This window comes from Homo sapiens, chromosome 11, assembly GCF_000001405.40.
Source record: "Homo sapiens chromosome 11, GRCh38.p14 Primary Assembly".
NCBI classification, from domain to species: Eukaryota; Metazoa; Chordata; class Mammalia; order Primates; family Hominidae; genus Homo; species Homo sapiens.
Genome location: NC_000011.10, coordinates 10,900,793 through 10,915,124, shown reverse-complemented (window position 1 = coordinate 10,915,124; position 14,332 = coordinate 10,900,793). Strand labels below are relative to the sequence as shown.

Sequence of the window (14,332 nt, the reverse complement as noted above, 5' to 3'; positions counted from 1 at the left end):
GAAGCAGGGGGTATAGTCAGAGAAACAGATTTGTAGAAACTATACGGCTGGCTTTAAAGATGCAGGAAAGGGCCTCTGAGTGAAGGCATGCAGGTGGCCTCCAGAAACAGGGAATGACAAGGAAATATTTTCTCCAAGAGCCTTCAGAAGGGACTTACCCCTTAAGACACCTTGATTTTAAGACTTCTGATCTCTAGAACAGTAAAATAATAAATTTGTGGGCCAGGTGCAGTGACTTATGCCTGTAATCCCAGCACTTTGGAAGGCTGATGCAGGAGGATCACTTGAGCCCAGAAGTTCAAGACCAACCTAAGCAACACAGTGAGACCCTGTATCTACAAAAAATAAAATTAGCTGAGCATGGTGGTATGCACCTGTAGTCCCAGCTACTTGGGAGGTTAAGATGGGAGGATCTCTTGAGCCCAGGAGGTCGAGGGTACAGTGAGCCATGATCATGCCACTGCACTTCAGCCTGGGCAACAGAGCCAGACCCTATCTCACTTAAAAAAAAAAAAAGAGCTATGTTGTCTTAAACCACTAAATTGTGATTGTTACATCAACAGCAGGAAAGAAATACAAATATATATAATTTTTATGATGGAAAAAACTTTATTTGGTTAAGACAGGCTTTATTTGGTTCAAAAGAGCATTAAAATATAATATGGGTTAATATTTGTGGTCCAGTATCACTTTGTCATTTAGGTGTCACAAGCTATAAAGTGCAATAGAGCTTAATATGTTTCTGATGAACGCCTTATTTTTTCACTTCCACTGTCAACACAGAAATGCCTCACTACAGAGCAACAAACATTAAATTTGGGTTAATTTGCTTAATGATGACATCTAGTGCACAAAAGTCTAAGATGCAAATAATAAGCAGCAGGAAGGAGAAGCTAAAAAGAAAAAAGGAGAAAGTTGATGAATCATAAATAAAACACCCCCTGAGTTGGGCAACTCTAGATTTATGCAAATTCAACATTACACAAATGTTTCCAAAAGGCACATACTGCAAATTTAGAAAAATAGAAAGTTATAAGATACGTAATGGGCAATAGAAATACAAAACTACTATTATTATCTCCTTACTTCAATCCAGTCTCTTGTTCCATTCTTGATTCTTGGTTTGATTTCTAGTTGACAGTCTTGCCCCTGCTGCTTTGGTCTGGGTGGTTCAAGTTGTCTGGAGTGTCTGGCTCTTGCCCTTCCAGCTTCCCCCCATCACACACACACACACAAACACACACACACACACACACACACACACACACACACACACACACACACATTTAGCTCTGCTCCACCCATTTTCTCCATCCAGCACTGTTTCTGGCTTTATGGCTGCCCTAGCTCTCAAGAGACAATCTCCAGTCTTGAGCTCTAGGAGATGATGGGGTGATGGCAGCATGAAGTAGGGGAGATGGGCAACCTTAGATAAGTAAGCAAAAATATCTTTGAAATAAGAATAGAAAAGAAAGCAGGAAGGAAAAAGGGAGGGAGGAAAGGGAGAAGGAGAGGAAGAAAAGAGGGAAGGGAAGGGAAGAGAAAAGGAAAAAGAGGTATAAGAACTGCAGAACATAAAACAGTCACCAGTCACCATAGACAGAAAAGACTCAGAAAGCTATGGAAACCATCCAGTCACACATGAAATGTTTTAACAAATACTCATTTTAGGTAAATGGCTCATTAGCTGACTTGGCTTATGGGTGAACTCGTTTTAGTGAGCTGGCCTATTTTCCAAGGATGCTGTAGCATGGGCACATGTGTACACCACTTGGCAGGTTCACTCCATCCTGAAAGTAGGGAAAAGGGCCTCCAGCCATCCTGGCTAGCTTGGAGGCAGTCTGCTCAGATCCCCTCATTATGTGGTTCTGTCTGCACTCATCAAGCAGCCTTCTCATAATAACTTGGCTTCCCATGCAGATTTTCCTACCAGCAGGGAACAAGCTGACCTGTGAGCAGGAGTATTCTGGTCCCACTGGCAGTTATTCTGCATGGAAATTAATAAATCAGCATTCTCTTGGGAATTTGATTTGCATGTCCATTCTCCAGAGTCTAAAAAAAAAAACTTACTGCACTAACAGAAAAAGTTATGTTAGTGTGTTAGTTAAGGCCTTTTGGGTCAATGAAACCCACTCCATCTAGCATTAAAAAAATGTAAAAATGTATTATAAGATGGTAGCTGTATGCCACAGAACTCAAGGGAAGAAAGGGCTGTTGGGACTGAAAACCAGAAACCAAAAAGCCATCAGGATTGAAACCTCTGCCTTCACTCTTGGTCTGTTCTAGGAGAAACTGTTTCTCTACCCCAAATGTATGGGTTTTCCACACCAAGCAATATTCCAGTTCTATATGGACACCAACTGGGTGCCCTAAAATTGAATTCAATTCTGACAGTAACTACCCAGAGTTATTGCAGACCCCACAGATTAGAGGCTCAGTCCCACAAGACTGCCCCTCATTTCAGACACCAATTGCAAGCAGTTGGTCCCCAGGTTATTTACACTTTGTTCAGACTTGGCCACAACCCCCTCCTCAGGTTTAATAACTTGCTATAATGGTTCACAGAACGCAGGGGAGAACTTTACTTATGCTTCCTGGCTTATTATGAAAGACACAAGTGAACAGCCAAGTGAAGAGGTACAGAGTAGGGGCCATCAGGGTCCAGAGTGAAGGAGCTTCTGCACCGCCGGGGTTGGGGTGTGCCTCCCTCCTGGCGCGTAGATGTGTTTACCAATCAGGAAGCTCTTCAACCCCATCACTGAGGGTCATTATGGAGGTTCCATTTCGTAGTCATGATTGATTAAATCATTGGCCACTGGTGATGAACTCAATCTCCAGCCCTTCTCCTCTTCCCACAGGTCAGCAGGTGGAGCTGGAAGTTCCAATCTTCTAATCATGTGGCTGGTTCCTCTGGTAACCAGTCTGCACCCTCCAAGAATCACCCCATTCACATAAACTCAAGTATGATTGCAAGAGGCGTATTATAAATGACAATAGAGGTTTCTCTCACACCTATCGTTCAGGAAATTCCAAGGATTTTAGAAGTTCCGCGCCAGGAACCGGGGACAAAAGCCAAATATTATAACAAAAGATACTCCTCTGACTCCCTACGCTCAAGAAGTTACAAGTGTTTTAGAAGCCCTGTGCCAGGAACCAGAGACAAAGACCAAATATATATTTTCTAATTATATTACAGCATTACCGTCTGCATCTCACACTCCTGCTGATGCTCTCCCCTCCCACTCTCAGGCTGCACGTACACTCCTTTCTGTTTCTGTCTTTACACCTCTCTCCCTCTCTCTCTTTCTCTCTCCAGATCAACTTTCTCTGCTTCTCAGGTATGCAGCTTCAGAAAGCTGCTTCTCACCCGCCTCAGTCCCTGCACCCAAGATGAACATCTATGAATTCAAACTCTACAGTCTCACAAAGAAAATCTGATTGGCCCAATTTGGGTCAAGTGTCCAGCCCTGATCAAATTATATGCAGCCGGTGGGGGAAGCTGGGCGTAGGAGGACAGAGTAGGCCCAGCTTCATGAAGTTGAAAACAATTTCCAGAAGAAGAAGGAAGACTGTAGATAGAGTAAGCATCCCCAAAACCATCACAGGTCCACAAACTCTGAGAGTCAGAGGTGTTTCTGAATTCAGAAATTTTTTGGACTTTAGAATATGGTCTTGTGCCTCATATAACATCACACACCAGTGGAGTCTAGGGCAGTTTCCCATAATCATATACACCAATCTTTTTGCAATGAAAACATGAATAGTTGTGCAAAATAGGAAATAAGCATTATGAATATTTTCACATGAGTTCAAATCAGGTTTTGCCTCAAAAGGAGTTATAAAAATACTTTTGGCTTTTATTGTTTCTGGATTTCAGGTTGCAGTTGAAGGATTTAGGCTGAGGACCAGACTGCAATGCTATCATGGTGCTTCTTCAAGAGGTTCCCCAGGTCTTTGCTCCTCTAAGTGTGGTCTCTGGATCAGCAGCATCAATGTCACCTGGGGGCTTGTTAGAACTACTGAATCTCAGGACCCATCCCAGATATGCTGAATCAGAATCTGCATTTTTAAAAATGCCCAGGCACTTCACGTGCTTATTAAACTTTGCAAAACACTGCTCTAAGTGGCAGTCAACATTCCTAAGTCCCCGGTCTTTGTATTTGTACAGATGAACTGCAACACACATGTGTACAATCATCCCTTCTTATGAGTTTTTTGAAAATAGCTCCAACCATCATTTTTACACCAACAAAGAAGAAACCACCTTAACTTCAGATCTGTGCCATACCGCTCACCACCCAGCTCAACAGATACAGTCCCTCTAGCTACCACAAACATCGTTTCACAAATTCTTCCCGTACTGGTTTTTAAGCTAGCACACCTGGATAGGAGCTTCTTTTTATGAAACTATGTCTATCAGAGGACATTTATATAATCCTTCATAAAAATGGATCCAACAGGCCGGGCACAGTGGCTCACGCCTGTAATCACAGCACTTTGGGAGGCCGAGGCAGGTGGATTGCCTGAGGTCAGGATTTTGAGAGCAGCCTGGCCGACGTGGTGAAACCCCATCTCTACCAAAAATACAAAAATTAGCTGGGCGTGGTGGTGTGCGCCTGTAATCCCAGCTACTCGGGAGGCTGAGGCAGGAGAATTGCTTGAACCCGGGAGGTGGAGGTTGCAGTGAGCTGAGATCGCACCATTGCACTCCAGCCTGGGTGACAAAAGCGAAACTCCACCTCAAAAAAAAAAAAAAAAAAAAGGATCAAATAGGATATAAAGTGGCTGGGACTATAACTAAGAAATTATTTAAGAAAGAGTGCAAGCAAGTGAAACACAGAGCAGTGGCCTGAGCATCAGCTCTTTTTGCCCTTTTCATAGAGAGTAGAATTTTTAAAAGGGCTAACAATATAAAGCCCCTACCCAGAATGTATTTACAATCCAGTGACAGTCTTTTGACTTAACACCTTTTACCTTGCACTCTGCTGTTTTGGAATTCATAAAGGCAATAAGAAAGGAGTAAGTAGATAGAGAGGGGTTTCTCAAATAACAGGTTTATTCATTGAATTTGCTTTCTTAAGTTCTTTGGGAATAGAAGAACACTTCAAAATCCCAAAGAAAATAAAGAAGTTATGAGCACAGAAGCACCTCTCAGACTATCATTGCTTACTGCCTGCTAGAAGCAGCAAGAAGAAAATAATTTAAAAAACAGCAGTGACACCGGCAGCTTTTAGGAAATCTCAGCCACCGTGGAGAAAACTTCAAGAATCTGCAAGAAGTAAGTGATTCTTCTTCATCAAACTAACATCCATAAGCAGAAGCTGACCAGGCAACAGCAGTCTGATGCATTTCATGGGATGCTCCTCTACCCAGAGTCCCCTGAGGCAGAGTGTGTTCTCACCCCACCACAGGGCCAGTCCACCCAGACTGCCCTCAAACCAGAGCTGCAGTGAGTTCCTCGTGCCAACACCCCATGACTCACATTTGCACCAGTCTTATCACCCAGAATGTCGGTTAGCTCTTCCTCTCACCTCTCCTCTGATCAGAAACCCCACCACCATCCCCCCCCAGTACCCCCAACCATTTCACTTGAGCCTTTCGGAACCTAACTCCCCCTGCCCCCTCAATCTGTGAAGAATGTTCCCTCTGTTTTCTCCTTGAACTAGAAATAGTAACTTCCCTGCTATGGGTAGAACTTATCCCCTGCTAAAACGTATGTTGAAGTCCTGACTCCAGTACCTTAGAATGTGACCTTATTTGGAAATAGGGCCGTTGCTGATGTAATTAATTAAGATGAGGTGATACTGGAGCAGCATGGGTCTGTAATCCAATAAGACTGGGGTCCTTATAAGAGGGCCACATGAGAAAACAGACCCAGGGAGAACGCCATGCAATAACACAGGCCGAGAGTAAGGTGATGCTTCCACAAGCCAAAGAACACTAAAGATTGCCAGCAAACCACCAGAAGCTAGGAAGAGGCAGAAGGATTTCGCTAAATTTCACAGGAAGCATGATCCTGCCAGCACCTTTGTTATCGGTAGAGGGTCTTGACTGCAAGTTGTCCAGGTTCTTGGCATTTTGAACAAAGAATCGGACAAAACTCACAGCAAAGCAAGAAAAGAATGAAGCAATGAAAGAATGAAAGCAAGGATTTATTGAAAGTTAAAGTATACTCCACAGCGTGGGAGCGGCACCAGCAGGCTCATGGGCCCGGATACAGAATCTTCTCTGATCCAAATACCCCCTAGAGGTTTCCCATTGGCCACTTGGTGCTCACCTCATGTAAATGAAGTGGTGGCCCACAATCAGAGACTGAAGTGAAGTTACAAAGCCGCACTTCTATGCAAACGAAGACTCGGCCTGCAATCATTTTGATTGGTTGTGGACAGCAACCAATCAGAGGCTGGAGTGAAGTTACAAAGTTACACTCCAAAGCAAACAAAGTTACACTCGTATGCAAATTGAGGTACTTTAGATTTCCCATCTGCCACACAGAAAAGGTGGGGGTTTGCAAAGGGAATAGCCTCTGGTCCTTTTGTTACTTAGGCATGGAAAGTTCTAGGAAGTCTGCATGAATTTAGTTCTAGGAAGTCTGCATGAAATGGCCTCAGGTTCCCTGCCTTCAGACCTTCTTCTCCTGCTTCACTCTGATTTCTGACTTCTAGCCCCAAGAACTGTGAGACAATAAATTCCAGTTGTTTTAAGTCACCCAGTTTGTGGTGCTTGGTTGTGGCAGCCCTGGGAAATTAACATAGCTCCTGAAGACACTGGCCCTCCGCCAACCCTTGTTTGAGGAGCTGCCTTATGATCTTACTCCCCACATTCCTCAGACTCAGTGGCCACCAGTCCTCCTCACTGCCCAATTAAGTGAAAACATATGCTGGACCCCCACTCCACTCTCCCATAATCCTTTGCTCCTTAAAGTTTACAGCATCTCCCCATTATCCTTCCACTTCGCTCGTATCTGTCATTACCTGGTCGCCTCAAGTGATCTCAACATGGCCAAACCCAAACTCCTCATTTCTCCCGTCCCCAGACTCTCCATCAGCCCATTCCTGACCCAAACCTCTTTTCCTGCATTTCCTATCTCAATTACTAGCACCACCATCTGCCCTGTCCTTCAAAAAACCTGAAAGTCAACCTTAGCTCCTTCCCATTCCTTGCTCTCAAATCCAACCAAACACCAGCAAGGCCAGTTTTACCGCTTAAAGTATTCTTCACCCCACTACTCTTCTCCATGCCCGTGTCTTCACTCCTAGTTCTGGCTAACTCACCCAGAATTATTTCAGCAACCTCTTAAGTGAACTGCCACATCTAGTCTTATCTTCCTTAAGCCCATCCTTCACTATGCATCCAAAGTAACTCTAAGTTATGTCATTCCCCTACTTTATAATAAATAAAATAAAGATGTTTTTAAAAACCTCAATGCTCCCAATTCCCTATAACAGAGATTTCTCAGTGTGTACAAGTTTCAGGCATATCTGTATCCCCCTAAAATTACCTGTTAAATGTTGAGTGTATGTTAATTTTGGTAGGAAGACGGACCATAGCTTCTATTAGTTTTTCAGAGAAATCTATGATCCTATAAGGATTAATCTTCTCGTAAATCCAAATCATTTCTAGTTTCCCGTGCCTTGTTTGTGCTTATAACATTTCCTCTGCTGAGATTTCTTTCGCAAATTCACTGTATTAAATGTCTTCCATGTACTAGACCATGTGGTGGGGTGGTAGGGATACCACAATGAACAGATCAACAGAGCTCTTCTCCCCACTTGGCATCTGGCCCATCCTTCAAGTCTTAATTCAAGTCTCAGCTCCTCCAGGAAGGCTGAGTGATACCCTTCAACTTTGAACCTTTGACACCTAGTAATTATTTCTACCATTTTATAATAAAAGTATCTGTTTATGTGTCTTCTTCCCTAGTATAAGCATCATGTAGGTTCAGGCTAACTGTGTATTCTCAGAGCCTAATACAGCTCCTGGTTCACAATAAGGGTTCAATAAACATTGGTTGAAAAAAAGAAAAAGTCCAAGATTGTTCCTCCCGCCCTCCCCATGAAATGGAAACAGCTGGTTTATTCCCTACTGAATTCATAAGACTACTGGGAACGTCGTAACAGGATAGAGGCTATTATAAGATTCTATTCAGAATTAAGAGGAAATTCATACTTAGATAATTTATCCTTCTACAAATCACTGAGATCTGAGTCAACAGAAAAATGTTAAGGATGATGGCCCTGCTAGTAACTGTGAGTAGCTGCAAAATGAGCTTTCTCCTTGTGACCTGGTGTTGGAAAAGGACCAAAGTCCCATGTTTCCATGGGGTGCATCTGGAATGCAATCTGGGATTCTTCAGAACGTGTCCCTCCAGTTCTGTGGAGCAAGACCTTTGGGGGCATGACCATTGTTTCCTCTTACTTCTCATGTGCTTCAGAAGCTTCATATCCTACAGCAGGTGGCAATGTTCTTTAGTGGTGTGGCGCATAAGGCTGAAAACATTTGTCAGGATGCTTTTCCTTTGTGCATTTCCTGGCATTCCATTTCTCCCCAGTGACAGCTGTGCATCACCTCAGAGAAGATTAGGGTTGGTGTAGCTGGATTACAGAGAAAGACTCAGTGCTCGGTTTTTGACTTTCAAAATGGGTTTGTGAAATAGTTCAGTAGTAATAGCTGTGGGGAAAAAAAAAAAGCAATTTTCCAAATAAGCTTTTTTGAGAGAAAAGAGGAGAAAGAGAACATACTGAAATTCAAAAGGCAAACCCTGAAGGGACTAAGGCAGGACATTTGTTCATTTAAAAAAATGAGCATCCTCCACTAAAATTATTAAGCAAATCTAGTCAAGCTTTTACAATCAATTTCCAGTTTCCAGAGCATACAAGGGCTACATATGTATTTTTGAAGTTAAATGATACCACAAAGAAATGGTCAGACAAATCAGAAGGTGAGACATTCTGCATTACAACTGCCCTGACTCCTGATGATATAATTTTTAAAAACACAAATGGGATTGTTTTAGAATAAAAGAGAGTAAAAATCATACTACTAAATGCAATGCATGAACTCTGATTAAATTCTGGTTCTAAAGTACCAATTTAAAAATTCATGTGGGGGACAATTGGGGAAATATGAATATACAATTTAAATTAGATGATGTTAGCCAATTACTATTAATTTTCTTAGGTGTGATAATAGTATTGTCATTATGTAAAAGAATGTTGTATTCCTAAGAGATGCATGTTGAATACTGAAGTGTTTATTAATGAAAAGTTTACAATTACTTTGAAGTGGTTCATATATATTCTATTAAAGTAAACATGACAAAATGTTAACAATTGTTTAATCAAGATTAAGTGAATATGAGTGCCATGGTTCTGTTCTTTCCATTTTTCTGTATTCTTGAAGATGTTTATAATACATAGTTTTTAAAATAGCTTGAAGCCAAGCTTGGTGGCATGTGCCTGTAGTCCCAGCTATTCAGGAGCCTGAGGCAGGGGGACCACTTAAGCCCAGGCTCAAGGCGATAGTGAATTATGATTGCACCACTGCACTTCAGGCTAGGTGACAGAGCAAGACCCCATCTCAAATTAAAATATTAAATAATAATAAAATAAAAATTAAAAATAGCTTCAAAAGAGAAGAGATGAAGATCAAAAGTAATCTCAAAGGTGAGTATTGGAGTTGCCATGAGTGACAGAGCAGGGGCATGAGGAGGGAAGTCAGTAGAGCCTCCAGGACTAGAGTGGCATGTGACGATGAGAGTCAGATTCAAGAGATTGCCCCACCTGGGCCCAGGTGAGCATGGTCAGTAGGCAGCGCCAGGGTACCACATGAGAGAACATCCAGTGCCCAGAATTCAACCAACACTTACTACCTGGGCTGATGAGTCCTTTGCTCATTGTCCCCGAGTGAGGACATCCCACCAACAGCTGCCTCTGGGTAGCCATATATGGTCCAGCAGGACCAATGCCCATCCATGCTTCAAAATTTTCTTAGCCCAAGAGATCCATGCTATGAGAAAAACCCAGATTTTGATGGCTTGAGACACTTGTAAGTCCCACCAAAGGAAGGATGGGGACCTACCTAGCATCCTACCCTCCACTGCCTGTACTTGGATAAAACCAAATGAAACCACTTTGAGAATTTTCCTAGAGTCAATAGTAGTTAAGACCCAGTCACATGACATATAGAAATAAACACCTTTCTGAAGAAAACTAGCATAGAAGTGGCTCAAGAAACTTGTCACTTCCAAGCAAACTCCTCTTTGGTTCCCAAAAGTCTGGGACAACAATAAAAGAAGCTCTGGAAGAAGCAGAAACCACTGAGAGTGCAGCCACTCTAAAGTAGACGTTGATTAGACAAACTTCCACACAGATAAGTCATATTTCATCAATTTCAAGGCTCCCTTGCCTCCTCTTTTCTCAATGTCTTTTTATTTTCTGAAAATGTGACCAAGTCCAAAAAAACAGACTGTAATAATGACGGTTTCATCTATTCTCAAAGTCCCTCATGAGTGTCATCATCTAGCCAAAAGTAAGAGGTCTATCGTTCCTACATATTGGCAATTAGTAGCTCTGCTTGGAGCAAACATTATAAATTAAATGAGATTAATGAATTGATCATTGTGAGAATAAACTGCATAATAATTTTGTTATTATCAAATCAAAACATACCTAACCCAAAGGTTGCTGCCCTTCACCAGCCAATAGGTACAATTAGGCTTGTGTTCACATTATCATCTGAATCTCATTGGCTTAGCACCCCATCCAGTCAGGCAAGAATTACAGTCTCTGGCCGGGTGCGGTGGCTCACGCTTGTAATCCCAGCACTTTGGGAGGCCGAGGGGGCGGATCACGATGTCAGGAGATCGAGACCACGGTGAAACCCCGTCTCTACTAAAAATACAAAAAATTAGCCGGACGTGGTGGCGGGCGCCTGTAGTTCCAGCTAGTCGGGGGGCTGAGGCAGGAGAATGGCGTGAACCCGGGAGGCGGAGCTTGCAGTGAGCCGAGATCGCGCCACTGCACTCCAGCCTGGGTGACAGATCAAGACTCCGTCTCAAAAAAAAAAAAAAAAAAAGAATTACAGTCTCTGACGAAGTTCCTCCCCAAGACCTTCCAGGAGTCCCTGAGTGGGACCTTACCTATGAACCCAAATCAGCTCAGGCCCCCCCATGCTGCTGGCCTCTATCCGTACAAACCAGAGCTGCTAACGAACCTTCTGCTAGCCTGAGATCTGGGGGTCCTGCTGCTATACACCATCACTGTGATGTAGAAGCCCACCACTGTCACTGCACTGCCTCTGCTGAGCTGGATGGAGACCCTCTTCGCAACACCAATGACTGAACCACTGATGTTCATGACGGAGTTACTCAGCTCCCCAGTCACTGCCAACGGGAAGAGAAGAATGTTTGACTTTTCATAAGCCATAGCAGGAGTCCTGCTATAATTTCCCTTCCCTCTTCCCCTTCCTTTCCTTTGGGCCCCAAACCATCACAGAGTTTACTTAAACAGGTGTTCGAATTTTTACACCCGGCCCTTGCTTCCAGGGTGCTCGGGGGTCTTGATGCCACTCCTCTTTGGTGCCCAGGCCCCACTACCAGGTCTGGACCACCATGCCAGCCTACTTTCTCCCTTTCAGTGACTTTTCCCTCAAGGAGCCAAATCACCTTCCTGAAACCTGGTTCTGTCAGACCCCCCGAACTATCAGCTTCTTCTTCTTTCTTTTTTTTTCTGAGACAGAGCAAGCTCTGTTGCCCAGGCTGGAGTACAGTGGCACAATCTCAGCTCACTGCAACCTCTGCCTCCCTGGTTCAAGCAATTCTTCTGCCTCAGCCTCCCGAGTAACTAGGATTACAGGTGTGCTCCACCACACCCAGCTAATTTTTGTGTTTTTAGTACAGACAGGGTTTCACCATGTTGGCCAGGCTGATCTCAAACTCCTGACCTCGTGATCCACCCGTCTCAACCTCCCAAGGTGTTGCAATTACAGGCGTGAGCCACTTCGCCTGGCTACTATCAGCTTCTTAAGCGTTCTTGCTCAGGACTTCTTTGGTCTTAAGTAAATCATCAGATATATGGCTAAGAAAATTTTGAAGCATGGATGGGCATTGGTCCTGCTGGACCAGCTAAATGCATGGGAGGAAGGGTGTTGCCCAAATCTGCATATCAGATAAAGTCTCACTCAGCTCCTGCCCGGCCGAGACCTCTACAGTCATACCACCCTGAACACGCCCGATCTCGTCTGATTCCCCAGATACAGATACACAATACATTTTATTTTTTATTTAAGGAAGTTACTTTACAGCTATAAGCAGCATCTAAAACAAAGAAGTGTATGTATCCACTCAGCTTCCCCCTTTATAGTAGTTTCTGAGATACAATATCATTTTTTCTATCTACTGTTGGAAAGTTTCTGAAGACTTTCTCTGAAAAGAAGCAGGCATGAATGATCCTTGGAGACACTGTGCTAAGTGAAATGGGCCAGACACAAAGGGACAAACGTTGTATGGTTCCACTTATACGATGTACCTAAAGTGGTTAAATTCTTAGAGACAGAAAATAGAATGGTGGTTGCCAAGGGCTGGAGGAAGGAGGAAATGGGGAGTTGTTGTTTAATGGATAGAATTTCAGTTTTGCAAGATGAACATGTTCTGGAGATGGATAGCGGTGATAATTGCACAACAGCGTAAATGTACTTAATGCCACTAAAGTATACACTTAAAAATGGTTAAATATGATCCAGTGGTCACACTACTTGGCATGTAACCAAAGGAAGGGAAATCAGTATATTAAAGAGACATCTGCACCCCCATGTTTCTAGCAGCACCACTCACATTAGCCGAGATATGAAATCAATCTAGGTGTCCAATAACAGATGAACGGATTTTTGAATGGTGGCACATATACACAGTGGAATACTACTCAGCCATAAAAAGAATGAATTCCTGTCATTCGCAGCAACATGGATGGAAGTGGAGGACATTATGTTAAGTGAAATAAGCCAGGAAGAGAAAGTTCAATACCACATATTCTCACTCATATGTGGAAGCTAAAAAAAAAAGAAAAAAAGAAAGTTGATATTAGAAGTAAAAAGCAGGCCGGGCACAGTGGCTCACACCTGTAATCCCAGCACGTTGGGAGGCCAAGGTGGGTGGATCACGAGGTCAGGAGATAGAGACCATCCTGACCATCCTGGCTAACACGGTGAAACCCCGTCTCTACTAAAAATACAAGAACAATATTAGCCGGGTGTAGTGGCGGGCGCCTGTAGTCCCAGCTACTCAGGAGGCTGAGGCAGGAGAATGGCGTGAACCTGGGAGGCGGAGCTTGCAGTGAGCCGAGATCCTGCCACTGCACTCCAGCCTGGGTGACAGAGGGAGATTCTGCCTCAAAAAAAAAAAAAAAAAAAAAAAAGAAGAAGTAAAAAGTAGAACAGAGGATACTAGAAGCTGGGAAGGGTAGTGTGGAGAGGGGCAGGGGAAAATTTGTTAAAGATACAGAATGACAGCTAGATAGGAGGAATATGTTGTAGTGTTCTATAGCATTGTAGAAGGACTATAGTTCACAATAAGAGAGAGACTCAAATAGCTAGAAGGATATTGAATGTTCCCAACACAAAGAAATGATAAATGTTTGAGGTGGAAGTCTATGCCAGTTACCCTGATCTGATCACTATATATTATATGTATCAAAACATCACTATGTACCCCATAAATATGTACAATTATGTGTCAATTTTAAAAATACAATTTTTAAAAGTATTTTGAAATAAAAAAATTTGTAATGTTTTAATGCTAAGTTTTATATTCTTATATGTTACTACTATGAAATGAATAAATAAATAATAAAAGAACATACGGACGACCCTGAAAAAAAAAAAAAAGAAGTAGCAGAAGCAGACGCAGAGGTGTTATGAGTGGAGTTGGGGGTTAGGTCAGCCTCAGAAAGCCAGAGAGAAGGGATTTGCCTGGAATACTGAAGAAGCTCTAGCCACAGATGAGGCTAAGTTGAGTGTGAAGAAGGCTGAAGAAAAGAAAAGGATTTTTTTTGTTTTGTTTTTGGCATGGCACATAGTAATAATTATCCCTCACAAGAATGTAGCATGTTAGTTTTCAAAACACTTCCATGAGTGATCTAACTTGCTGTCATGACAAGCAACCCCAAGTGAAGGGCAGGGGCTCAGAAAACCAGGGCCACTGAATGGGGAAAGCTGTTCCTTCCCAGTGCAAGCTCATAGCCTCCACGGGGAACTGACAGTCCATGTTGTCAGTAAGGAAACCGCAGCTCAGACAGGTGGACTGACTTGCCCCAAATCCCAGAGCTACTAACTAGCA

At 43.0% G+C, this 14,332-nt stretch overlaps 1 long non-coding RNA gene across 1 annotated transcript in view, besides 3 other annotated features; it reads left to right on the top strand.

Annotated features, from left to right (window-relative positions):
- LOC107984309 (uncharacterized) overlaps nt 1–14,332 on the top strand; it is a 31,528-nt gene that overhangs the window by 16,544 nt on the left and 652 nt on the right. The window lies entirely within an intron of this gene.
- Nucleotides 2,829–3,123: a silencer, noted in NCBI's record as "tiled region #6670; HepG2 Repressive non-DNase unmatched - State 22:ReprW". NCBI's record gives its function as "represses a minimal TATA promoter and a strong SV40 promoter by Sharpr-MPRA in HepG2 cells {active_cell/tissue: HepG2}" and the evidence as "EXISTENCE:reporter gene assay evidence [ECO:0000049][PMID:27701403]".
- Nucleotides 6,109–6,743: an enhancer, noted in NCBI's record as "NANOG-H3K27ac hESC enhancer chr11:10929929-10930563 (GRCh37/hg19 assembly coordinates)". NCBI's record gives its function as "activates a minimal SCP1, AML or CMV promoter by ChIP-STARR-seq in primed H9 embryonic stem cells {active_cell/tissue: H9 hESC(primed)}" and the evidence as "EXISTENCE:reporter gene assay evidence [ECO:0000049][PMID:30033119]".
- Nucleotides 6,744–7,380: an enhancer, noted in NCBI's record as "H3K27ac hESC enhancer chr11:10929292-10929928 (GRCh37/hg19 assembly coordinates)". NCBI's record gives its function as "activates a minimal SCP1, AML or CMV promoter by ChIP-STARR-seq in naive and primed H9 embryonic stem cells {active_cell/tissue: H9 hESC(naive and primed)}" and the evidence as "EXISTENCE:reporter gene assay evidence [ECO:0000049][PMID:30033119]".